Here is a 27,345-nt window from a genome sequence, read left to right as displayed (position 1 = left end):
TTCCCTTTTCCTTACCTAGGCTATTAGTCCTTATTTGCCAAGAGGTGATCCAGTTCTGAAACCACTCATCTATGAAATGATCTTACATGAATTTTTGGAGAGTGATTATGAGGTATGGTGTTCTGATGTGGTCATATTTACTTGTTCTCGATGGGAGGTGTTAGGAAATCTAGAAAGGAATACAATGGAGCAATGCCTGTAAAGGAAACAGATTTGTAGTTTGCATGTGGCAGGTGAAACTGAGCTAGAGAAACTCCAGTATAACTCATGTTTATGTAGACAGTGAAAACACTTAGTCCGTGTGCATTTTAAGGAATTCCTTAAAGTTACCTTCTTTCTAGAACTAAAGAAAAAGAGCTAAGTGCTATTTTGTAGATTTCATAAATACAATAGCAGCTGCTATTCCATCTTTGATATCATCCCAGAAGAAAGAGAATTATGAGTGTTCTGTGAAAATGATGGAGAAGAGTACAAACTTCCTTTACAAATGCTGAAGTATGTTATAATTTTCCTATTTTTAAAGTAATGTAATTTAAGCATTTAAAAAAATTTATTGTTTTTATGATTCTGTTACAGTTATTGCACATGATTGAACTCTTATTTTTTCATGAAACTTTTAAAAATCCTTTATCGTCAAAGTTACCCTGTTGATTTCATATCTGGAACACTTTTTATTGAGATGGAAAGAAGCATGACTTAACCTTAGAGATTGTAGATGTTTTCTCCTGAATGTTTTAGGATGTATGTCTGGTCAGTACTGTTAAGGAGGTTGTAAATAATTTGTTTTTATTTTCATAAGCTCTTATAAATAGTTCATGTTTTACCTTCCCTTATTCTCAGCTTAATTATTTAATTTTGAATTAAATTGTCACATTATCAGTCAAATAGCTGTGTTCCCTAACAACACTTTTGATCACATATTATGTGGAGAGACATTTTGTGTTGCTAAACAGAGCACTGAAGGTCAGATTACAAAAAACAAACTGTACTTCTCTGGAATATTGACTTGTCAATTTTTTTCTCCCTAAAAAGACATGAAGTAATATTGGAGGTAAAGATGCTTCATGACTTCTTTGTATGGGGTTTCTAGTCATATGCCTGTAGCTTTGCCTATTAATTTACGACCCAGCAGAGTTAAACAGTTAAGCTTTGTTTAATATTAACGACAAACATATAAGCATGTTAAAAATTGGATGATTTCTGTGGCATTTCATTTCATGAGTACTTTCTAGACTTTTACTTATTATGATAGGTACTGAGGTTTTCTATAACTTTGCTCATTCAATCATAACAGGTCCCTTGTTCCTGTGTCCTCTAATTAGTAATAATGGCCACAGATAGATTTTATAAATATTTCTTGGGTAGCACATTTATTCAAGGGTACACAAAGCCAGTTGAACAGAGAGAAGCCTAACATGAAATATGATAGATGTTTATTTCAGTTTATGGTGGGGTCATCATGCTTTTATCATACAAGATGACTGGTTATTTTGTCTTTATTTTGTGTTCGAAGTTGGCAGTACCATGAGGCTGTTGCATGATAGGGAAAAGAAAAAATGAGGCCAAACTTTCTTCTTTCCCTGAGCATTATTATTAATGGTCTAGGGGCTACTGTGAGCTGCTGGTATTGGGGTAGAAATCTTTACAGACTATTTTATCTTATATAGTCTTAAGAAAACAGGGCTGTCACGGTGGCTCACATCTGTAATCCCAGCACTTTGAGAGGCCAAGGTGGGAGGATTGCTTGAGCCCAGGAGTTCAAAACCAGCCTGGGTAACATAGTGAGACCTGTCTATAAAAAACTAAAAATTAGCTGAGTGCTGTGACATATGCCTGTACTCTCAGCTATTCAGGAGGCTGAGGTGGGAGGATCACTTGACCCTAGAGGCTGAGGCTGCAGTGAGCTGTGATCATGCTACTGCACTCCAGCTTAGGTGACGGAGTGGGACCCTTTCTCACAAAAAGAAAGAAAGAGGCTGTGTGTGGTGGCTCACCCCTGTAATCCCAGCACTTTGGGAGGCTGTGGGAGGCTGAGGCGGGCGGATCACAAGGTCAGGAGATGGAGACCATCCTGGCCAACATGGTTAAACCCCGTCTCTACTAAAAAAAAAAAAAATACAAAAATTAACCAGGCATGGTGGCATGCACCTGTAGTCCCAGCTATTTGGGAGGCTGAAGCGAGAGACTTGCTTGAGCCTAGGAGGCGGAGGTTGCAGTGAGCCAAGATAGCGCCACTGAACTCCAGCCTGGGCGACAGAGCGAAACACCACCTGAAAAAAAAAAAAAAAAAAAAAAAAAAAAAAGAGAGGAAGAGAGAGAGAGAAAAACAAAGAAAGAGGGAGAGAGAGAGAAAGAAAAGGAAGGGAGGGAGGGAAGAAAGGAAGGACAAGGAAGGAAAGACAAGGAAAGGGAAACAGAGAAGGAAGAAAAGAAAGAAACTTGATCTGAAATATTATTTTGGTTCTACAAACATTTTAATGTTCTGATTGAATCCATTCCCAAATTTCTGAAGTAAAATTTCAATCATATTAATATATAAGAAGTTTGTAATCTAAATGGAAAATATGTGGTCTTTTGTTCTGGTCTCTTGCCATCCTTCCAGGGGCTACTTTGGTAGAAATCGGGTGGAACTTTAATGAAAACTATATTACTGATTCTTTTGCACTTTTCTTACCAAATCCTGGTGCATTACAGAAGCAGCTTCTATCACATTGTTTTCATTTCTAAGTATTATTTAAACAAATTCACAGTAGTTCATTAAAGTATTAATGGAGTTATTTAATAGTAATAATGTACTATTTTTTATATAAACCAAAAAGTGACTGAGACAGATCTCAATCGACTTTAAGGTTTATTTTGCCAAGGTTAGGGACATACTTGGGGAAAAGAAACAGGGTCTGTGTCCTGTGCTTTTTCCAAAGAGATTGTTGAGGACTTCAAAATTTAAAGGGGAAAGAGCAAGCAGGAGGCAAAGGAGCAAATTTTAAAAATAAATAAATAAATAAGTAGGGGGAGAGTAAGCAATGAGGCACTTGGTCACATTCCAGTGATGCTCTGATTAGCTCAGGAAATCTACGTTTTACATGTAAAAAGAGAGAAGTGGGGAAAAAGTCAATTATGCATTCATCTCTTGCTCAGTAGATCTAGCTTTGACATGAGCTAAAGGAAGCATGTGAAATGACAGCTCTCTGTTTGGGAACAAAAGGAAGGCAATTTTTGCATGACTCAGTTCCCTTAACTTTCCCTTTGGCTTAGTGAATTGGAGGTCCTGAGAATTTATTTTCCTTTCACATTTAATAACGTGGATGTTTTTAATTCTCTTTACTGTCTTATGAACATGTTTTTGTTCTAAACATTGTCAAGGATCAGTAAGTAAACTGCTCTGTCATACTTTGAGTTATAAAACATGAAGTCTAAAGTCGGGAATCAGGGAGTAGAGACTGAGCAAGATACTGGCCCAGAATCAGCTGTGGGACGGAAACAGGATCAAATCGGGGAACCACAAAATTTGAGATCTAGAGATAGCCAGGATAAGAGCCAGGGGATAAGACTTGAGCCAAAGTCTCAAATTCCAACATAAAACTGGCATTAGAAGCCAAAGTGGAAGGAGGACCAAGATGGTGACTTGTTAAAGATATAGAATGCTGGACAGTTTCACTGTGGGAGCAGCCCTGTCCCAAGCAGACTGCCACGGTCAGTTGTGCTGGCTATACAGTGCACAACTGCATAACCAGTTGCACCCAGCAGCCCAGGCCTAAGTGCATTAGAGGACTCTTGGTGGTGGGGAAAGTAGCTGACTTGGGTAATATCTGTAAGCTGTTAAAGCTGTCATCCAAATGTTACAGTTAGTCCAGAATGGGGATGGGGCAAGTCCAACCTAAACTCTTGTCCATGCACTTTATAGAAGGAACAAGATAGCTTTCTTAGTTGTACATTTCGTAAAACTAAGGACAGAAGTAGATGGCACGACCTGCCTCCCAGGAATGCTAAATGGAGATTTATTGTACAATAATATTCCCTGCAACTCTTCACCACACCCAGACCCATAGTCTGAAAATTGATGAAATATTTATTGAACAAACTTTTAATCATATAATTGTTTGGTCTGTTATGTGACTAAAAGTGAATACTTTTAGGGATGGTTTAAATTGTTTGGTTTGTTTTGAGAATTTAGGAGAAACCAAACTCAGTTTCTCATGCTATACTCTCACAACACAACACTTCTGTGACCAAATATCTGGGTTTTTCCGCTACACACCAAGAAAGCAATTAGTTCTGCAGTGGACACCAGCTGGATGTCCTCTAATTCAGTTCATTCTGACACTGTCTACATGAAGATAGCATCAGTTCCTGCAGGCTGAGGGCTCAGGCCCACAAGACTGCCCCCACTTCAGACATACCAATCACAAGTTATAGGCTGTCACCTGTACTTCCGACTGGTCAACTATAAACTGGAATTCCCACTACCACCTCCTTAGATTTGACTCATTTGCTAGAGCAGCTCATAGAACTCAGGGGAACACTTTACTTACATTTACTGGTTTATTATAAAGAATATTGCAAAGGATACAGATGAACAGCCAAATGGATTAGATGCAGAGGGCAAGGTATGTGGGAAGAGGCATGGAGCTTCCAGGTCCTCTTTGGGTGCACCACCCTCCAGGAACCTCCAGGTGTTCAGCTCTTGGGGAGCCCTCCAAAGCCACTCCTTTTGGGTTTTAATGAAAGCTTCATTACTTAGACATGATTGATTTAAACACTGGGCCATTGGTGATCGGTGTAACCTTCAGCCCCTCTCCCCTCCTTGGAGGTTGTGGGGCAGGGGTGGGGGTAGGGCTGAAAAGTTCCAACCCTTTAATCCTGTCTCAGTCTATCCTGTGCCCAACCCCATCCTTAAGTTACCTAGGGGCTGCTAGCCACCAGTCAGCTCATTAGCATACAAGAAGACACATCATTTTAGAGATTCTAAGGATTTTGAGAGTTATATGCCAGGAAACAGAAGGAGGACCAAATGTATATTTCACAATATCACAACTATTATTCTGTTGAATGAGTGTTCTTTTTCTGTTTTTCACCTTTGGTTAGGGTTTTGCCACATTGATCCGAGAATGGCCTGGAGATCTGTATAATAATTCAGTCATAGTTCAAGCAGTTCGGGATCATTTGAAGAAAGATAGTCAGAACAAGACTTTACTTAAAACCCTGGCAGAATTGTGAGTATACTTAAGTGTTTCTTTTTCCATATCAGTCTGTGTTGAAAAGTTTTTCATACTTTAGATTTGGCAAACTCCAAGTGGAGAAGATGTATTTTATACCATTTTCCTACATTCCTTCTTAGTAAAAACCTCTCATAAACCTCAAATGAGTAGGCGATAAGGACATGTGTGAAACTGTACAATTGCAATGTAATCTGTTTCCCAGAGAAGAGAACCCCTAACGCACAGCGCTTGGGAGAGGCAGTGGTTAGGAAACAAAAGGGTGCCAAGTTTTAGATCACTCAAGCATAACAGTTTCCCAATGAGCAAGGCTCTGGATTCTGCTCTTCTAGGGTCTTCAAGTCAGTTAATTTAATCTCTCAAATGTCAATTCCTTATGGGAAAATTTTAAACTTTAAAAGAGATGTCATAATAGAGGACTCCCTGACCCTGAGTCAGGGCTCAGAAAATGGCAGCTTGGTTAATATTTTTCATATTTCTTGGGCACATTCAGTGATGCAGGCTTTGTGCGAGACGCTTATGATACAGAGATAGATAAGATATGCTCTCAAGTACTTCGATCTAGGGAAACAAGAAGTATACTGCAGGTCTAGCCAAGACGACCATCCCTGCATCCACCTCTCCTCAGTGCCCCCATCACCTCAGGCCACTCCTCTCCCTTGTTTTTTCTTCTTTTGCCCAAAACCAAAAAAGGTATACCAAAATGACCTAGAACTCTGGACGTGTTGGATTTTCCACAAGAGGAGGTTGTGTTTATGGCATTCTAAGTTGAAATGCTAATCATTTTCTCTTGGAAACGTTGTCCTGTTAGATACCCCTTAGAGTCTGCAGCACGTTCGTAATGGACCAACAGTACAGCTTCAGTTCAGTGAGCTCTCAAGAGCTGACTTAGGGACTTAATGTGAAAAACATTGTTTCAATGGAAAAACACATTTCAGTTAGACACAGCCCCCTTAAAATCAGCTTTTGGAATATTAGCCATTTGTCAGCTGAATACTGCTTGTAAGAATTGGAACGGATGTTTCTGTTACTAAAATGAGAACTTCATCCTGGATCCTAGTTTCTTTGCTGTATGGATGTTTGTAAAACTTTTGAGACTGAGACCCCCAATAAAGACCATTTTTATTACTTGAATATTGTGAATTTTCTTAAATTTTGGCAACATGAGAGGCAAAGTTCTGAGAAAGAAATACTTATTGGTCGTGTATAGTTAAATCCTATTCAAAAATAGGAATATTTTTTGAAATAAAGTTAACTTTTCTCTCTAAAGGAGTGTTTCCATTTTTAATATTGTGAACCATGATCTCTCTGTGTGTGTTTTAATTAGAACTGTTGATGAATATTAATGTAAAAAATTTGTATTACCAGGTACACCTATGACAAGAACTATGGCAATGCTCTGGAAATATACTTAACATTAAGACATAAAGACGTTTTTCAGTTGATCCACAAGCATAATCTTTTCAGTTCTATCAAGGATAAAATTGTTTTATTAATGGATTTTGATTCAGAGGTAATGTGCTTTTTATTTTAGTACTGTCAATTATTTTTACTATTCCAAATATTTAATACTTAGATATCTATCCAAATGCTGGATTGGTGAATGAATCACATAACTTGGCTTTATGCCGACAATCTTTAGAACACTCTGACCCTCGCTAGATGTTGTTATTCTAGTTGTTTGGCATTCAGGAATCCTTTTCATAATGTAGTTATTCTGTGAAAGCAATTCAAAGTTGATAGAGAACTTTTAAAGTTGTGTGTGTGCGCATATAAAGTAATTTCTTGCTAAAACAATTCATATAATTTATAGAAACAAACCACGTATATACTTTGACTCATTTATCCCTCCTAACCTGTTTTCCAGAATTTTAAAATTAAGTGAACTTCCATCTTGACCGACTTATTACTATTTTATTTCTTGGTGTTCACGTATCCAGCATGTGGGGTTTCCCCTGGTTTGAGGTGATGCTCATGTCCAGGACATGTGGAATGTTATTTTATTGTGTGACAAATTTGAATAACCTAATAATAAATTTACGCCCCCTAATGAGTGGACCCAGCCACAGCTCACATTGGTGCTTGCAAAGTGATGCAAGCTGTGTGTGTGTGTGTGTGTGTGTGTGTGTGTGTGTGTAAAAGAAATCTAATTACAAGTGCTCATGACAGAAATAATGAGGTTTATAAAACAGTGTTCTTATTCAAAAAATTGAAATTTTAGATAAACCTAAAAGTAGAACCCTAAAGGCTCCAAAAGGATTAATGCATTTTTCAATTATATTGTACTGTATTTAGAGATATTGTGTGCTATATTAATCTCCACCAACTTAAACTTAATTTAGATAGGAGCTAGAGCTACGTCTTTTTCTCAAAGATGCTTTAGCCCTTTTTAAAATACTGAGTCAAGTCTTTAGGGACTACAGATTTACGAAGAATTACGTAGCTCCAAGGAAGTTCAGGTAGAGAGGCTCTGCTTGTCTGGCAGAGGATGAGATGCTTATGTAAAAATTAATTACATTTTCCTCATATCTAGTCTCCCCTCATGCACCCCCTTCCATTGTTCTCCAGAGCTCGTTTTGCATATGTTCCTGTGGAAAAAAGATGAATGAGCTGAAACTAATTGCTATTCTAGAATGTGATCCAGATGTAAGGAATCAGAGTCTTCTGGTTAGAAGAGACCTTAGGGATAATCTACTCCAACACCCTCGTATTTCAGAGAACAAAAGTAACATTTGGAGCAGACAGCTAGGTCGTAGCAGAGTCTAGAACAGGGCCCCCAGGTGTTCCGTGTGAGGCTCAGTCTGGTGTGCTGCTTTCCCTCTTCCTCTTGACATAAACTGTCTAGTTTGTGTTTCCTGAATGATAAAAGTGGCTAAAGTAAATTCTGAAAGTCCAAAAGCTTTATGTCATTATGAAACTTCAGGTATCTCATTCTCTTTCTGACTCTTATTCCCTTCTCCTCATAAAACCAGCTCCTTCTGTCTGTGGAGTCTCATAGGGAGACTAGGTCGAGGTTGAAGTAGCTGGAAGAAAAGCTCATTTTCTTGATATACTGGTAAAGAGATGCTCTCCATAACTACTGAGAGTCTCATGAGAAGGTGTGAAGGTATCCGAGACATCGGAGGGCGGGGGGCTAGGATATGGGCAGTCAAGATGTTTTGTATTTGGGAAGTTATAGCAAAGCACCATTTTAGTAGTGTGCAAAACACATAGGCTTCAGATTGAGATGCATTTGAAAATGCAGTTCTTCACAAATGTCATTTTCCATAAGAGCCATTGTAAAGCCAAGGGCCTCCTTAAGTATACAAAATAAGCCTTCCACCTGTGAACTGTGGTAGGTACACTGCATTGTGTTTAGTCTTCTCTTCTTAAATAACGGATTTCATTGACTGTGGCTTTTCTTATATGTTTCAGAAAGCTGTTGACATGCTTTTGGACAATGAAGATAAAATTTCAGTGAGTGTCATTTGTTTTTATATGTGTTACCAGATGAACGTCTGGGACTCCTATAGCTGTGAAGAAGAGAGTTTATCAGATAATTTTGTAGCTGTCTTTCTGTCCTCATGACTCCACCTTGAAACTTTTCTTTTTTATCTAGATTAAAAAGGTAGTGGAAGAATTGGAAGACAGACCAGAGCTACAGCATGTGGTGAGCATGGCAGTCTCCTCCTTTTGCCCTTTTGATTGACCAGTGGGTGAATCACCTTTCAGTATTGGTGCGAGGAGGATACTGGAGTGAATTCTTCAAGGAGGTTAATATTCCAGTTGGAGGTTTCACCACAAACAATGTTCTGTAATTACCAAAATGCAGCATATGCTGTGAATTCAAGGTCAGGGATTAATTGTAGATCAGGCAGTTGAATTTTGACCCACAATTGAATTGTGATGGAAAAAAGTTACCAATCTATCTATTATATTACTATAATATAAATATATGTAACATAACTATATATTTAACTATAATGAATGTTTTTGTGTTATGTTGTGTCTAGGAATAAGCACTCTCCCTCTGTAGTTGCCATTAAATATAACCATGGCATATATCACAGTAAAGGCCAGTATGGCACCGCAGATACTGTACCAAGTTCTCCTGCTAAGGAAATGTCAGACAACCATTCCATATCCAGACCACAGAGCGATAAAAGGGCAGAGTCTCATTTCTTTTGTCCCTCACCATGACAATAGCTAATTCCATATTTCTTGTGTGCTATTGGTGGTTGTGTAATTAAGGCCTGTTATTCTAGATTTCTTTGGGGGGCTACTTCAATTCTCTGCATTGCATCATCATGAGAGTAAAGCAGGAATAGTTGTTTTCTATGTCCTTTAAAAGTTATACAAGAGAAAACTTAGCACACTTAGGGATTATATCAGTAGGACTATGGGTATCAGATACAATAAGTGCACTTGTATCTTTGCCCATCTCATTGCACCCTAGGAGGAGGCTTAGGGAATAGAGCATTTTTTTCAAAAGTCAGTTTTCTGCTTTGAAGCTTTTGAAGACTGCAGGAAGGGAATGAGAGGCACCTTTTTTTCTCTTTTGCTCAGATGCTACTGCTGCATTGTTCATGATTGGAAATCTCAAGATTATCTGCTTCCCAAGCAAGGCTCCACATTGCTAACCACCTTAGGAATTCATTTATAAAGCAGTGATTTCTGACTTACTTAAGCCAGGAGACAGGATTATGGGCAGTAGCTCTCTGTGCGACAATGTAATCAGTGCAATGGTGAAGTGGTGGCACAGCCCACACTAACATGGCTCATCTTCCCTGCCAGGCAATGTCTTGTTTCTATATATATAAATTTGACTCAGCATTCATGTGACAGGGCCTCCCTGTCCTTTTTGCACTCTGGGAAACAGCACCACATATCCCCGCTAACACACTGACCCCAGTGCCAGTGGACTGGCGGTGGTGTTCATCAGACCTCTGCCTGGCACATGAGTTCAGTCTACTGCTTGTACTGCTCCGTTTTGCCTTAGGAAGAAGTGAACAGGAAGCCTGAAGATTGGTTTCTTAAGGTGCATGTGTCCATGGTTAGGCGTCATTGTGACTAGATTCAACAGCAATAACAAACATCAGCGCATTTACAGTCTCAGCTGCAGGGCGGCTGGTGCTCTATGTCTGTTATAAACCAATCCACTTGGAAACAGCAACCCAAGGTGTTAATGCTCGTGGGATTGGTGATTAAGTCTTCCTGTCTTCAGTAGATTGTGGGGTTTTTGTTTACATTTAATATTAACTAAACATTGAATTGTTTTTTGACTTCTGAGTACTGTATTGATAGACTTAATCTTGCCTGTGAGGAGAAAGTGAATTACTGATTTCCTGTGAAGTTAACTTTTTTTCAGACAGCTAAGGTAAGGAATCAGTTTTGAAAACTGTTTCAGAACACCTGCATTCTTCTTGATTTTTACTTTGTATTTTTGTTTTTGATGTTACCAGTTTAGGCAGCATTTCATTTGAAGAGTCAACAAAGAGGAGATGCAGAATGTATGGAAATGAGTTTAGTGCCCGCTACTTGAGTTTTTAAGAATATGTGCTTGTCCCAGGACTCTACCCTCTTTTGTGTAAAATAATTTTTATGATCTGGGAAGACCACTCATCTTTTTATTTCTGAGCCAAAGCAGATACCAATGATGATATTGACAACTACTGTCATTAACATTTCTGTAGTTCTTAGTGTATGCTAAGTTCATTGGTTCTGAGTGATTTCGTAATGGCAACTCGTTTAATTGTCACAGTAACTCAATAAAATTTTTGTAGATAAACTGAGTCTCAGAGAGATTAGTGACTTGCCTAAGGTCACAGTTGGTACGTGGCAGAGTCAGGTTTTGGGGCCCTTCTAGAGAAATTATCGGAATCCTTTGCTCTCCCAAAGGGTTTTCCTTTCCACTTCTCCATCACCTAGAGGTTTTCCCTGAAGACTGCTTCTCCCCCAACCTGTCCATGGGAGGTGTTTAGAGCTAAAAATAGCAATGTTAGCCAGGTATTGCTTTTCTCATTTTAATGGGTCACGGCTTATCTTTTGTTCCTTTTAGTATTTGCATAAGCTTTTCAAGAGAGACCACCATAAGGGGCAGCGTTACCATGAAAAACAGATCAGTCTTTATGCTGAATATGATCGACCAAACTTACTTCCCTTTCTCCGAGACAGTACCCATTGCCCACTTGAAAAGGTAAGGCACAGACTCCCCGACTTGTACACTTTGGATGAAGAGGTTGTCATTGATGGTAAGTTGTTTGTCTTTCTTCTCTTTCTATCTCTGTTCATCTGTCCCTTTCCAGGGGGAAGACTGTTGCTCTCAAAGAAGTAGGTTTTTGGCTGGGACATTCTGTCAAGAAAAGGAGATCTCATTGGATTAGACTTTGGTGAAGAGCTGAAGCATTTCTGTGACAGGTTTAATTGGAAGAACAGCTTAATCCAGGGTCTAGGACTTAATCAACCATCAGGCAAAAATGATATATTAGAAGTCTCAGTCCATCTCCCAGGATCAGAGTGACACCTCAGAGTCAAGAGCCTGGGAGGGAGACACAGACTGTCCTAAGCCAGAAGCAGTTGCTCCAGTCAGGAATCAGGTTTGATAAACTGAGGTCATAGCTTAGGTCCTGCATCCTATCTTCTTTAAGTGTCTACCCTATGTTTTTCTTTGTTTCTCCTACATCCTACATTCCACTATAATTATCTGCTTACTAGTCTCTGTCTCCTGGAAATTCTTCAAAGACAAGGAATTTGTCTTACTCATTTTGGTAAATCTAGTACCCACCACACATTAGACATTTACTAAATGTGTGTTGCATCATGAGTGAGAGAATGAATGAATAAATTATATACATGCAAGATCCTAGTTCGGGCTAAATAAGGACTAGTAAGTTTTATGAGACTGCTGTTTCAAAATAAACTGAAGTACTTAACTATATATGTGCTAACAACTGGGCAGCCTAAAAGCCAACAGTATTATGTCCTACAGTTCTCAATACCATCTACCACTAACATCTACAAATGTCTGACTAAATTTGGATGGCCAGATACTTTTGAAAGTCAGCTGTGTGGACCAACAAAATAAAAAACATATTTGACCCATTAGAGATATGTGCAAAGAAGCTGGATGATAACACAGTTTATGTACACTTACAACTTCCGTGTATGCTTCCTTAGCCCATGATTATTAAATGCATTGGAGTACTGTGAACCAATTTAGCTCAATGGATTTTTAAAGTCCACAATTATTGAAAAAAATCTTGCCTGCCTGTTAACTTATAAAACGACATTAGCATTTTATATTTGGGGCCCTAAGACATTTTCTGAGGACTTAATTTGGAAATTCATTATCTTACTCTAAAAGTAAAAACAGATACTACCCTCTTCTCTCAACATAGGACTTTATAACCTGGCAATAGAGTGAGAATCTTATTCTTTGAACAGTGCTCCTTCATTTGTTTCTCACTTTTCAAGAGAACATTGTATATTTCAGAGAGGATGTGGCAGTCTCCTGAAGTCTCCCATTGACCTCTGAGACAGAGAGGTCACATGTGGGTGATTAACAGCCCTTCCCATTCCCTAAGCACAAGATGCAGAGGCGCCACCCAGGTTCCAGTATCTCTATATCTCTCACACACTTTATGCCCACCTGGTTTAAAGTTTTCGGGTCTAGTAGTACTCAGTGGAAGACACCCTGCTTCACCCAGTAGGGAGCAGCAGAATGTTGCAGACCTGCATGTGATGCTTCCTACACATATGGCTTGCTTAGAGCATTTGTGTAGACCTTGTAGAATTTTTCTCTCTGGTCCACTGGAAACAACATATTGAATGTAAAAGAACTCAGCACAAGCATAGTAAAACCAATTATGTTTTAGACACAGTTATTTTTAAAAATTTATCTCGTGTCCCACTGAAAGAGAATTTTGAGCATGGATTAGAGGTGGTAATGGTGAAACAGACCATTATAAGATAATCAAGTAGTAATCCATATTTTTAGGACTCCCTAAATGGGTTTTCATGTTTCAGGTTACTGAGACTTCTTCATAAGAGATTATCTGTTTGTCAGGACCTATTGTGGGAAATCTGTATATTTGTAGAAAACATAGCACTCTACCCTATCAGGTACCCAAAGCTGTCTTAAAGGAGAGGTTCATGACAGTATTACTAACTCAAGATTCTCACTCCGTTTTCCTTAAAGTAAGTTCTGGTTGGGTGTGGTAGCCCACACCTCTAATCCCAGCACTTTGGGAAGCTGAGGGTGGGAAAATAGTTTTGGGCCAGGAGTTTGAGACCAGCCTGGTGAACATAGCAAGACTCTGTCTCTACAAAAATAAAAACATTAGTCCAGTGTAGTGGTACATGCCAGTCAGTATTCATAGCTACTCAGGAAGCTGAGGGAGGAGGAAGTCTTGAGCCCAAGAGTTTGAGGTTACAGTAAGCTATGATTGCACCAGTGCACTCCGGCCTAGGCGAGAAAGCAAAACTCTCTTTAAATAAATAAAAAAGAATAATAAGAAAGAATTCTGTATATACTCAGTCATCTTAGAAACAAATCCCTTTTATGTTTACATGTGACATGAAAAGCTATCGTATGTACCAATTTGCGAATGACAAAGTGGATTTCTCCAATTAAACGCATCCCAAGCTTGCTAGTAAAGGGCACGGAATACCTGTCTGCCTGTTTTGTATAAAGAGCGACTCATAGAAAATGTGATCTCTTTTTCTCCTGAATATGAAATTGAGAACTTTGAAATTATAAAGCCTCCCTTTCCCCAAAGAAATTTCTGTCTGCTTCCTTAGAATTTAGAGATTGTTGAGTCCTATTGGTACAAGAGGATTTTTTGTTCTTTGTTTCTACTTTAAATGAGAAGTGTTTAAGCTTTCAAAGGCATATTCAGAACCCATTGATCCACTGTTGTTTATAATTTACCTCTGGCAGAACACTATATCTTTCTAATTTTGGTTGTCTTCCTTTACTGGGAAGACACTATATCTTTCTAATTTTGGTTGTCTTTCCTTTGGTTGTCTTCCTTTGCCAACAATTGGCTAATTGTTGAGAGGAGGTGATTTCAGATTGGCAACTGATTGAAATCTTCAAGAATCTAGGTTAACCTTATTTTGAATTGATTGAAATCCCACAATCAATAGTATTTGGCCCAAAACTTTGGAAAGATCCTGACGTCACATCAAAAGCCCTAGTTATAGTTATCAAAGGCCAGAGTTCAGGATTTAAAATCACCACGACTCTGAAATTCAAAAATTAATCATAAACTTTTATGAAATTGTTTGTTCTAAAGGAAATACAGAGTTTGTGGGAATTTATAATATCTACAGCAATTTTTAAAGATAATAAAAATTATTTGTATTTCTTTTGTGCTTTATAATGTATGTTGTGCCTTCATGTATATTGTTTTATTTAATCTCTACAAAAGTGCAGTTAGGTGGATAGAGTCGTTTTATACATGACAAGCCAAGTCTTAGGGAGCTGGAAAAAAGCCTAAAGTCTAGAGCTAATAAGTTGAGGGACCAAGACTTAGAACCTGGATGACTTAATTTTAGGCTCTGTATTTTTTCCACTATGTTGGGGAATCATTTTCAGGTTTAAAAAGTTAATGGAAATAAGATATTTCCTAGTATTGCAAGAATCATGAAAGATTATTTTTTTTAACTGTTAAACTGTCCTGTAATTTACAGATGTGGTCATCAGGCACTGGTTTTCATTTTGCAAATCTGATTTGCTTGTGCCTAGAGTGGTTAAGAGCAGATCATCAGTTTTATAGTTCAGCAGATTTATACCGGAATTTGTGATCGCTCTCATATCTAATAGTATTCACAAGGTGGCAGTATTTCTGAATTCGGAAGAATAAAGCTGAGAGATGCCAAGTTTGCAGATTTTCATTAAAGAAATTTAAAGAGAAGATTGGATAAAAGATGACGAGATCAAGGATAGGTAGAAATAATTATTTAATTTACATTTGATAAGGTTCTTATTAGTTACCCTCAGTTTTCTAACTTCATTCTTTACCTTCATACTAAATCAGAAAGAGGAGAATTAAAATATTATTTTTGCATCATTTTTTACTCAAGTTCTATTATTATTCTGATTTTTCACTTCTATTTTCACTGCATTGTCCGCGTGTGTGTGCGCGCACGCGCGCGCATGTGTTGTGTGTGTCTACTTTAAAAATCTTAGTTTCCCTACTGTTTCCTCTAGAGGGAGCACCATGGTCCAGGAACATTCAAGAATCTAAATGCTTTCTTTTTATACTTTACTCAAAATTTCTAGAGATTTCTAAAGTCCATTTTCTCATTTGTGAGAAGAGGATAATTTAAGATACTGTTAGAAACTCATCATGAAACATCTAAAATTATGTGAAATTGAAATTTCAGAGACTCAAATTATCTTTGAACTTGGTGATACTCATCTGCTTACATTCCGTGTCATTCCTAACTTCAGCTTACCTTCAGACATTTCTTCCCACATGACTTCCTTTTTGAAAGTATATACAGGATCTTATAGCCTTGCTATTCTATGGCATATTCTACAGCAATGGAAATGTTTTATAATCTACTCTGTCCCACATAGTAGCCACCAACCACATGTCACAATTGAGTATTTGAAATCTGGCTATTGCTACCAAGGAACTGAATTTCAATTTAATTTAATTTTAATCAATTTAAACTTAAATAGACACATAGAGCAAGTGGCTGCTGTCTTGGATAACTCAGGTGAGGCTTCAAACTGCAAACTCTTTTGTGGTTTGAGACTAGCATGTTCTTAAGCATTCTCATGTGCAGAAGAAAATGGGTAATGGTTCTGTCTGAAATCTTGAATGGTATTTTAAAGTGTGTAAGTGAATTTCCAAGTACAGAATTGATTCATGGATACCTTTTAATAATAAATTATTTTAAGCAGCATAAATGCTTATCATTAGTCAGACTATCTTTCTCTAAACATTCTCCTTATTCAGTTGTATTACAGTGTTCTATTTATCTGTGAATGGCAGTCCCACTCAACTATAAACTATCTGTATCTTAACACCCAGAACAAATCTAGGCACTCAGTTGGCTTCTCAGTGGTTTTTTGTTTGAATCCCGTGTCCTCTGATGTATTTGCACTATTTTGCTTTATTATTTAACTTCTTACTTATGTTTTTTGTCTCTGCAGTAGTATCACTGCAGGAGAGTGAAGAGTTGGTAAGAAAGTTTCATCATTTACAATGGTGATTGACAGGCAAGACCATATAGGAATAGGTAAACCATATTTTTAATCAAAATAAAGGAAGATTTTCTCGGTATTAGCTAGGATTAGATTCAACTGTGAGTGATAAAAATCCCAAAATAATTGTGGCTTAACAGAGCAACAGTTTCTTTTTCTGTCACGTGGAAGTGTTGGTGGAGTGGCCCTGCTGAGAGCACCATGCCGCGGGGTCAGAGACCGGGGCTCCTTCCTCTTGTTCGTCCACCTTGGGTGACCTTGACCTCATGACGTAAGGTAGTGCCATCCAATAGTGGAGAGTCAGGGTAAGGGAAGCATTTCAGGCAAGGGGACGCAATGGAGAGGTGAGCAGAGGCAGGTGAAGCTGCACAGAAATTAAGGGCTAGGTTGTGGATGCCTTGTAAGTCGTGGTAGAGATTCTCAGCTTTAAGTCTGAGTGGAGCGATGCAATAGAAAGTTTTGTAGGCAGGGTATGAGATAAGGTTTCCCAGGTGCACTCATTCATCATACTGCACCCGGTTCAGATGCCACTTCCCCTTGAAGCTTCTCACAAGAGGACCACACAGTTTCAGTGTCCCTCCTCTGTACACATGGCCCTTTGTTCATGTTACTCTAATCGTGGAATAATGCGTTGTCACATCTCTGTCACTTCCTGGACCCTGAGCTCCCGGGGGTGGACTCATGCTGCTAATGCTCCTACTAAGCCTCCTCCATTATTCTCTTCTTTGTTTTCCTCTTACCTATAATCATCACTAACATTTTTATTATTGTCATCTTTGCATCTCTATCTAACCTGACCCTCTAGCACCCAGCACAGAGAATATAGTAAATGTATCCTGATTAATTTAGAATTAGTAAGTAATTTATCAATATATAGTAGGTCTTTTTTTTTTTTTTAAGACTAATGGAAATGCTCTCATCTGCATAGTTGCTCCTTTTTGGATCCTTCTTGATCATCAAAAGTGTTTTTTCCTTCTCACCTTTGACAGATCCTTGAGCAGAGTTCTCTTTCAGCCCCTGTGATCTGGCAGTACAAATATTCCTAGTAAATTCAATCATTCATTCGTTCATTCATGCAGCATGAATTCATATTTCCTGAGCTTATGGTATGCACAATACTAGGAAAAGTTCAACCATGAGCAACATTCCTTACATCTTAATGGAGGGAAACAGAGCTTAAACAAATGACTACAGATTTGGAAGGAAGCAGTGCTGTAAGGAAACCTGAAGTAGTGTAAAGAGAGAAAGCTTAGTGGGAAAGGCCCTTTCTTTTCATTTGGTGTCTTGTTTTCTACTCTTGCTCATGAAATGTTCTGAGTAGCTTCAAATATGTTTTAAATTGAATTGTGTAGAGTCCAGTACCTCTGAGAGGTAACTGAGTGCAGCTATTCTAGGGAGATGTGTTCTTTATTTGTTTGCTTTGTTTTATTTTTAAAGAAGCTGTGGAAAAATTCTTTCAAGTGTAAGTTTAAATGACTTTATTACTGTTTGTTCTTATTTGGTCGCCTATAGTAACATTTTTACCCTGCTTTAATTGAAGGCTCTTGAGATCTGTCAACAGAGAAACTTTGTAGAAGAGACAGTTTATCTTCTGAGTAAGTAGCTTTTATTCATTTTGGTCCCCATAAACTAAGAAATGGGATGACAACATGAAGTAAATTGTGTAAGAAAGGACATAGGTTTTAGACCAACGTAACACAGAATATGAGCCTATTTTTACAATAATTTAATATATGAAACAGACTTCACAGCACAGTAAAGAAGGAAGAGTTGTTTCATAAATGTTGAAATAACATATTGGCAATGTATAATCAACATATCAAAATTTATCAGTTTATACCTCACAACATAGATTAAGTTGTAGATGAGTTGACAAGTTTTTTCATTTTCTAAAAAATTATAATCAGCTTATATTACCATCATATTGGTAGAAAATAAATAATCACTTTTAGAAATCACACCCTAAATAACTAGAGGAAATGCAATTGAATACCATAGTTTTGGAGAAGGAGGAGAGCTTTTTAATATAATCTAGGTGTCAGTGTTCCTGGTCTTCTGGCTCCTACCTCCACATGAGTCACAATTTTTGTACCATGCATACCAAGAAACAAAACTTGTCATCTTTTCACATTCTTCCAAAATGAGCCACGTGCATGACAACAATGTGGGTTGTACTGAGGATTGCATAATGTAGCATATAACATAACATTCATATTTGGTGTTTCTCCATTGTCACTTCCCTGCTGACCTCAGTAGGGTTTTTCCGCTTTACGCCTTTCCCTTATACAGCACTCACTCTCATTGGCCTCTTTGCCTCTGTTGAAAAATAATCCAAATCCTCTATTCCCTTTTATGTGTATGCAGATTCATGGGTGCTCAGCCACAAACCCAGAACTGTCCAGTTATAGCACCTGCCCTTCTTAGGAGAAGTGCTTTTGGGGCTGCATTTTGTTACTTCAGCATGTTCCTGGGGTTCTAATCACAATTTTAGGTAGCTCATCAATTCACTAATTCCAAACAGTGTTCTCCCCAAGAAATATTTTGGTGGAATAAATTTTTGTCATATTGTCTTAGAAGCAGTAGAGGACTTATTAGGGACATATAGTCTGATTTTATAAAAACTTGATAATCCTGTAAACATTTTTAAATAACTAACCATTTTTAGAGACATAAACTGTGGAAATAATATTTGTAAGAAACACAAAATGCTGTGGAAGGGGTATCAAATGGGATATCATTTCATTCACAAGCCAGCTTTTATCAGTTGATAATGGCCGTGTGCAGGGGGAAGGATTCAAGATCCTTTACTAGTTCCTGCAAGCCCAGAGACAGGGGTAAGGGTGACAACCTACAACCAGGCAGTTGTTGTCCCTCCACTGAGTAAGGCTTTCTTACATGCACTATATTAAAAACTCATGGAAAACTTTAAACTATTAAAATGCCATAGGTCAGTGAGCAAAGTATGTAAAGACAATTAGCCAATAGAAGGCATGGTTGATAAATACTTTCATCTCATGAGGGTTATTGAAAGGCCTTCCCCTGAACGTGGGAGAGAAGAAAATGAGGAAGCCCTCTGATAGTTGAGTTTGCAGTTGGCACAAAGTGTATCAGAAAAGCAGTATGCACAGCTACCTCATGAGGCAGAATGACTTTAGGGCCTTTAAACATTTTAAGTGTATCTGCATGTGAAGGTATTGACCTCCAGAATATATATAAGTCTATCAAAAGTAAGTCAGAGTATGACAGACCTGGCTTCAAATTCACAGTGTACTATTTAGTAGCTGTATGATCTTAGCAAGCTACTAACATTTCTATTTCCTCTTCTATAAAAGAGGAATATTAGTAGAACATGCCTCATAGGGTTGTAGTGATGGTTATATGATGTCATTTATATGAGGCACTTAAATGAGTACTCAGTACAGAGTAAATATCCAGTAAATAGGAGATACTTATTTTGCTATGTTATAGACAGTAAATGTTGGTGTCACATGAGAAAATAGCCTTGTCTTAGCTTTCCACCTATGTAAACAAATTAAGAGATATGCAATTTCTTTAAAAAAATTATTAAAATACCTTAAATGAACTCTTTCTCCCATCTTCACCCCACCAAGGCCGAATGGGTAATAGCCGAAGTGCCCTGAAGATGATTATGGAGGAATTACATGATGTTGATAAAGCAATCGAATTTGCCAAGGAGCAAGATGATGGAGAGCTGTGGGAAGATTTGATTTTATATTCCATTGACAAACCACGTAAGCATAAAAGCCATCTCTGGTTATAACTTTTTTTTCTCTCAGTGTAACCAGTTATGTCTAGATTAAAAACTATTTCAAGATACATTGGGTTAAGAAAATGGTAGCGTACCTACAATAAAAATAGGCCAGGTGTGTTGTAATGATTTCCAATACTCCTCCTGTGCTGGAAAACCTGGAGCCTCATCACTTTGCATTACCTGCATGTGATGAAGAACAGGTGGCTACACAGTTTATTAATTGTGTCCCCATGAGGCATATTTTTACCTGCTGCAAGCAAATTGAATAAATGTCATCTGGGTTGTGTTGGTGTGGTTTTTTTTTGTTTTTAGCTTGTATATGGGAGTGTTTATAGTTTAAGTGTATAGACCTTACCAGTCTTTTTTGGAAACATGTAACTGTTCTGGACATTGATGATATTTGGATGTTTGTGTTGTAGTATTTAGCCTCTTTCCTGCACTATTTTTATCAGTACAACACCCAGAGTTTGTATTTGTTGGTCCTCAGCTTGACTGTTTGCATTGGGTCTCCCATTTTGGAAAGGAAAAAACAAAAGCAGTCACCTAACAGAAACCCAACTCTTTTGAAAATAACTAGCAGTAGTGATTTGAAATTTCCTCTTTCCTTTTTTTTTTTTTTAAGTTTGGTAGGAAGTCTTTGTGTTCATGTAACTACCTTAATCTGAAATTGACTTTAATAACTATCCTCTTGACAATATAAAGAATCTCACTTGTAACTAGCAAGATAAAGTAGTAGTTTAAGGATCTCAAGAGGCAAAGTGATGTGGCAGAACATATCATAAACTTGAGGCTGGCCTGAGTGAATTTGGGCACATTACTTATTAGCCGTGTGACCCTGGAAAAATTAAACACCCCATTTCCCTTGTCTGTAAAATGGGGACACAGCATTCCTACCTTGCACAGTATTTGAGGAAAGTGTATATGATACCTGAGCCATAGTCAGTTGTCAATAAATATTATTTACACCCATTTGATGCTAAAAACTGTATTTTGAAGGCAAGTAATCATTTGTTCAACTGTTTTAAAACAGTTCTTATTTACTTTCTCCTTCATGTCTTAAGGAGCGTTAGTTCTTGGAAGTTTAGAAGATTAATTCTTAAGAGTTTAGAAATTCAAATGGTTTTAACACTTACTTTGAAGGAAATAATTTTTTCTTTGAGTTACTTTTGATCTAAAATTGCATTATATGCAAATTATGTGCAAATAAAATTGCATTATAATGTTGCTTATATGTTCATTGTTTTATGTGGTATTTTGTAGCATTTATTACTGGCTTGTTAAACAACATTGGCACACATGTTGACCCAATTCTACTGATTCACCGTATTAAGGAAGGAATGGAGATCCCCAATTTGAGAGATTCCTTGGTTAAAATTCTGCAAGACTACAATTTGCAAGTAAGTATCCTTTCTTGGACAAATGAGCATCTGAATTAGTTGACTTAGTACTGGATAAATATTTCTAGGGTTTATGTTAGGTATCAGTTAAAAACTTTCGATTTTATGGTTACATTTTATTTAGGCCCAGATATTTAGAAAACTGTTCAAATAGAGTAATTAGAAACATCACCTTTAAAATTGCGTTGTCCAGTAATACCTTAAAGGCCTTAAGAAGGCTATTTGATTCTTTAGCCATCTCCAATTTTCACTTGTTTTTGAGCAGACATTCTTACATTTGTATGGTTAATATAACATGGAATCGAGGCGAGTATGAAAGCAGTTATAGTGGCCATTAGATCGGGCCACCCCAACATTTTTAGGGAGAATAAGTATTGTATCCGTTTGAGGGAATTAACAAAAATGTTTTTCAGTAAGGTAATAATTTTTCTTGAAGCCATTCAGTAGTCTGTTGCCTGAAAGCTGTTAAAATATAGGATTTTATTTAACCTTTTGTCTGTTTTCTAGAATAGTGCAACTTTATTATCCTTGTTAAATCAGAATTTGTCATAAGAACAGTGGAACTCATTATTTTCATATAAATTATTATACTAATTACAAAGCATCTTAATCTTTTCCTTAAAAAGACTCTAGCAATTACTATTTTTCAGGATGCTGGTAACTTCTATAGAACTTGAATTAAAACATTTCCTTAAAAATTCGGACTGTTGTTCTTCCTCTAATTTACTTGAAAATGAGGTTTTATTAATAATGGATGAAATTACTTTCCTAGAAACAATTTTTGCAGGTAAAGCCAAAAGAAAAGGCTATTAGCTGAGGAGCATTATGATGTGAGATCCATTGGGCCAGGATTCACCATGCAGGTTGCAAAGTAGAGGTCTGCCTGCACTCAGGGTGACAGCCTTAGGTAAGAGGCAGGGTGGAAAGGAGAAGATATTGCAGGAACATTGGTGGCATCAAAAACAGATGTAAGAGATGAAAGGGATGGCAGAGCTGCAGGGACAAGAGGTTGTGCCAGAGAGTGTGATGTCATTAATGTTTCTGAAGCGGAGTCATGGTGTATACGTGTTCAAAAAGTGGGATGATGGTAAAGGTCATTTGTGTAGAATTAGTAGAGAAACTGAGGCCACAGCCTTTCTGAGTCATCCTAATGGACATGAAGGCCAGGAGGAAGAAACAAGGTGCTCTAAGCCAGGCTCCAGCTTCTCCACAGGGGACAGTAGTATTAACTGGACAACACGACTTTAAAAGTGAAGAAGTCTAAAGATGGGGGTGGGGGTGTGAGAGATCATGCAGCCTTCACTCCGGAGAGCTTTGTGGGAAATTGGGTTCATGGGAGAGAAATTGGTATTCGTTAAGCCAAAGAAGTAGATTACCTGTTCCGCAAAAAGCTTAACGATATATAGGCATATATTTCCAGTGGGATTTGGAGGTTTGCAGATGACCCAGGAGAAAGGTTATTGGAAGGAGAATGAGAAAGTCAAGAAGGAAATAAAAATATGGGAATGGGTTAATAGGCAAAGAGAGGTGAGGTGAGGAGCTGGCTTTTCATGCCACGCCCTAGGAATCCAGAAAGGTGACGTCCCTGCCTGGGGAAGTCACTAATTTTGAAGGTCAGATTGGGCTTTGGTGAAAGTGTTTTCAGTATCAGAACTTATAAGCCTCTGAGTGTGAGTGAGCTTGATAATGACCTTTACTTCATTGACCCTTACCAACCCCAGGCATGCCAGGATATGCTCTAGGTTTCAAATCCACATTTGATGAGAAGTCATTTAGGTGTCTCTGAACAACCCTCCCCCAAGGGAAGTAGTAAATAATTATCCCTCTGCCTTTCAGCTGTAGTGCAAGAAGCTTGCACTAGGTTAAAAGTTGTGCCTTTCTTTTTCGCCAGCCTCCGCAATGACTGCAAGACCACATAGTGCATCCCTATGACTAGGTCATTCTTCCAGAGAACCAAGCTCATGGGCACCACTGTGATCTCAGTGTTCATTCATTTTTAATAAATAAATTTGCATCATTCTGAGTCAGCTGGTAATAAAAATGAAATTATTATTAGATGCAAAATGAATGCCTAACATAAAAATATCTACTAAAGAAGCTACTAAATATTTTTTCTTAATTAGAGCTTTTCCTTAAGATATGTAAGTATGTAGTTCGGTAATGTGTTAAGGAGGTTCAGAATTATTTAGCTAGTGGGTCCAAAAAGCTGTGGTTGCCTGTGAATCCCCCAACCAAGGGGTGGCTTCTCAGAGGGTGAGGGAGAGATGAACAGGGAAGGCAGCAGAGCCTGTGGAAGCTGCTGCATCTGGAGTCCCCACTGGAGCTCAGGCATCTTGTTGGAGAATGCAGTCAGAAAATGCTCTCCGGGGGCAGGTGGTTCAAAGAATTCCAGGCATTATTTTTCCCTCACAGATAAAGAGTTTAAAATATTTTTCTGCTCTTTTTACATAATGTATTAATGACCGCTTAATGTGTTTCCTTTCTCTAGGCAACCTATTAGGGTTCACTGTAAAAATAAATCTATCCAGAGAGCATTTTGCAATTTCCAGAAGGATTTCACTTGCATGTTTTTATTTTATTCTTTTTTTATTTTGTATTTTATAAAACTATGTTGTTTTTCACATACTCTCACCTAGCAAAGTAAAAAATTAGCAACCCTATTCAATCTGAAAATTTGGGAGAAATTTTGCATGTTCATCAATTTCCAGGAATCTGGAAGTGACTGTGTGTGTGATGGGGCTGGGTGGGACAGTAACCCCAGGGGCTATCAAGAACCATTCAGTAATGTAGGGATCTATGGTCAGATGTTGGGGAAATGTTCTCACAGGGCTTCTCAGCACCTTTTCTTGCTGGTATGCATTGGGAATCTCTAAAGGGAGATTGACAATAGAGTATACAGCATTTAAAACTTGGGCACTGCTTTGGGAGATCATTCATTAGCCAGTTGTTAATTGGAAAAGCGGGTTAGAGAATGTTGTGGGAAAAACTTGAAATGAGTAACTCTTCTGCTTTTAGTTTCACGTTTTCTAAAATGTAACAGCTCTCTTCAACCGAAGGTTAGCATCATTAGGTTTGTTAGATGCCTATGACATGACATAGTTTAAGGAAGTAGTATAATCAACTACATCAGCAGTGTTTAATTTCTTTAACTTTCTATGTTTTTATACCCGGCTACCTTGTTAGTGTAATCACTGCACAAATTTTAAAAGCTTCATGAAGTCAGTAAGATGCAAGTGGCATGTATTGCACTTCATAAGCTTTAAATGTTCCTAGGCCTGATTTCAAGGACAAATAGCACTTATTTTGATATAACTTCCAAAACAATATGGTATCAATTATACTTCAGTTTTTATGTAAACTGACCAGTTTCCAGTTTATGCTACAAATTTCTAATGTTTTTACATTTTCTATTTTTAAAACATTATAAATTTAGCATGTAGTTGTTGAGCGTTTATGTCCATTTTTGTAGTTGGAGGCTTTTTTCCCTTGAGAATTTCAGCATCTTTGTTCTTAAAGACTTCTTTTGACGGTTTTATTTGACAAACATTTAATCTTCACAACACTTCTGTAGGAAATATCATCTTTGTTTTACAGATGAGAAGGTTGTCTCTCAGAAAAGTTAAGTGATTTGCCAGTCTGGGAAGGTGATGAACTGGGTTTGAACACAGATCACAGATCCTCTGACTAAATCTCATGCCTTTTTTAAATCAGTGACTACATTACCTTTTACAGCCACAAGTAATCTCTAAAAAATCTGCTAATTAGAGTGGGGTCTTAGTTTTTTTCATTATGGGTAACACCTCTTGGGAAAAGAAAATAGCAAGCATGTTTAACTTGCTTCTAAAGAGGTGTCATGGTGCAGTGGAAATCTCACCAGGCTAAGCCTCATGAGTCCCTGGTGTGAGTCTAACCCTTAAGGAAAGTTGTAGATGATCCTGAAGAAGTCATTGCACATCCTTGGACCTCTGTTTTCCCCAGAAAAATAAAAGGGAGCAGGGGCTAGATTAAACGTCCATCTTAGATGCTTTAGGGGCTGCAGACATTCTTAAGGCTAACTGGATCTAAGGCATTGGGTACAAAGCTGAATTGCCTTTAGGCCAACACCTGCCTAGTTAGGTTTCTCTACATTTCTCTCTGGAGCAGGATGTTCAGCTTTGGGCACTGGTTTGGGTCACAGGATTACAAAACTTTCAAAGATCACTACAGAAACTTAGCCTTTACAAGATGGACACAACACTCAGGAGTTTCCACTGTGATGGAAACTCCTCTGGACTTGTGTTATTGTGGTGATCGACCCCCATATTTGTATCCTTTTACACTTGGCAGAATCATGCCACGTGGTTCTCCCAGCAGGCCCTCGCCCCTGCTTTGCAGATGAGAAAGTTGAAGCTAGAAGATGTTGCATGATTTGCCCATGTCATGCAGTAGAGCCAGGATTCCAAGCCTGTGCACTTGGTGCTGCTCTGCCTCCTACAATTTGGCAGTTTTAAGTTTTCTTTTCATGGGTAATGCTTGCCATTACTCTTGCTTTTGATTTATGTTTTATTTTGTCTGTATCTATGACCAAGACTAGGGTTATGAAGTTTTGTTTTTATTTTTTATTTTTATTTTTTTGAGACGGAGTCTTGCTCTGTCGCCAGGCTGGAGTGCAGTGGCGTGATCTCAGCTCACTGCAAACTCCACCTCTCTAGTTCAAACAATTCTCCTGCATCAGCCTCCTGAGTAGCTGGGATTACAGACACGTGCCACCATACCCAGCTAATTTTTGTATTTTTAGTAGAGACAGTTTATCCATGTTGGCCAGGATAGTCTTCATCTCCTGACCTCATGATCCGCCTGCCTCGGCCTCCCAAAGTGCTGGCATGGCAGGTGTGAGCCACCGCGCCTGGCCTGTTTTTATTTTAGTTTTTTAAAGATAGATAATTCTCTCCCCAGCTACCAATCTAAGGGAGGCATTGCCCAACTTCCTTTTCCACCAACTTTCAAAAGTGGTGCGAATGTGGAATCTCTGCATATTGAAAATAAGGTCAACTCACCTGATGAGGGAGGGAAAATCCACCCTGTACTGTTCTTTTTCTTGAGATAGAAGCTTTGTAGATGAGATTTGCCACTCCCTATAATTAGGTTTAACTATTTGTGAATGCTTTTGTTTTTAATCCATGTATAAGACAAATATGTGCCAAAACTTTTTGGTGCTCATGCTTTCAGTTTTACAATTATGATTCTCATCCTCCTTTCTATTCTAGCAGTGTCTGTGAAGTGCCTTGAGGTACTTCATTTATGTTATCTCTGGATAAAAAGGGACTATCTACATAGTGCTGTTGTGTGGTCTTCCACATCATATCCTGTGTATCTCTCACTGCTGGGCCCATTTGGTCTCTGGAGATGCATTCATTGTACTGGCAGTTTATGCCAGAGTCACATACAGAATTGGCATGGAAGACAAATAGGCAACTGTTGTCTTTTAAAGAGCGGTGGACATGGTATTTGCAGACGTGGGCTCCTGTTCTGGCTTTGCCATTAACAAGCCTATTGAGACTTTGGTAAGGCACTTCAGCTTTCTGGAGCTTGGCTTCCCAGTTAGATTAAGCCAGTGTTTGTGAAGTCTGGCTGCACACCAGTATCATCTGGATTCTTGTATACGTTACATAGTTTCAGGCACCCAGCCCAGATCTGCTGAATGAGACTCTCTTGGGAAGGACTAGGGAGCATGTCCTTAAACCACCTTGATATTTCTTACACACCTAGTCTGGCACTAGTCTA

At 38.2% G+C, this 27,345-nt stretch overlaps 1 protein-coding gene across 4 annotated transcripts in view; it reads left to right on the top strand.

The window, feature by feature from the left end:
* Window positions 1–27,345, top strand: part of VPS41 (VPS41 subunit of HOPS complex) — a 186,218-nt gene that overhangs the window by 145,625 nt on the left and 13,248 nt on the right. For all 4 annotated transcript variants that reach the window (XR_007060008.1, NM_080631.4, NM_014396.4 and 1 more), the window contains 9 exons: window positions 20–112; window positions 5,086–5,213; window positions 6,585–6,729; window positions 8,631–8,672; window positions 8,815–8,865; window positions 11,254–11,391; window positions 17,954–18,008; window positions 20,025–20,165; window positions 21,446–21,582. Coding sequence is in view for 3 of the 4 variants with exons in the window: in NM_080631.4 (NP_542198.2) it covers window positions 20–112; window positions 5,086–5,213; window positions 6,585–6,729; window positions 8,631–8,672; window positions 8,815–8,865; window positions 11,254–11,391; window positions 17,954–18,008; window positions 20,025–20,165; window positions 21,446–21,582 (930 nt within the window). In the remaining variant the exon portion in view is untranslated. The remainder of the gene's footprint in view (window positions 1–19; window positions 113–5,085; window positions 5,214–6,584; window positions 6,730–8,630; window positions 8,673–8,814; window positions 8,866–11,253; window positions 11,392–17,953; window positions 18,009–20,024; window positions 20,166–21,445; window positions 21,583–27,345) is intronic.

This window comes from Homo sapiens, chromosome 7 (genome assembly GCF_000001405.40).
Source record: "Homo sapiens chromosome 7, GRCh38.p14 Primary Assembly".
NCBI classification, from domain to species: Eukaryota; Metazoa; Chordata; class Mammalia; order Primates; family Hominidae; genus Homo; species Homo sapiens.
Note: the sequence above shows the minus strand (reverse complement) of the source record. Positions and strands in the feature narration are given on the sequence as shown.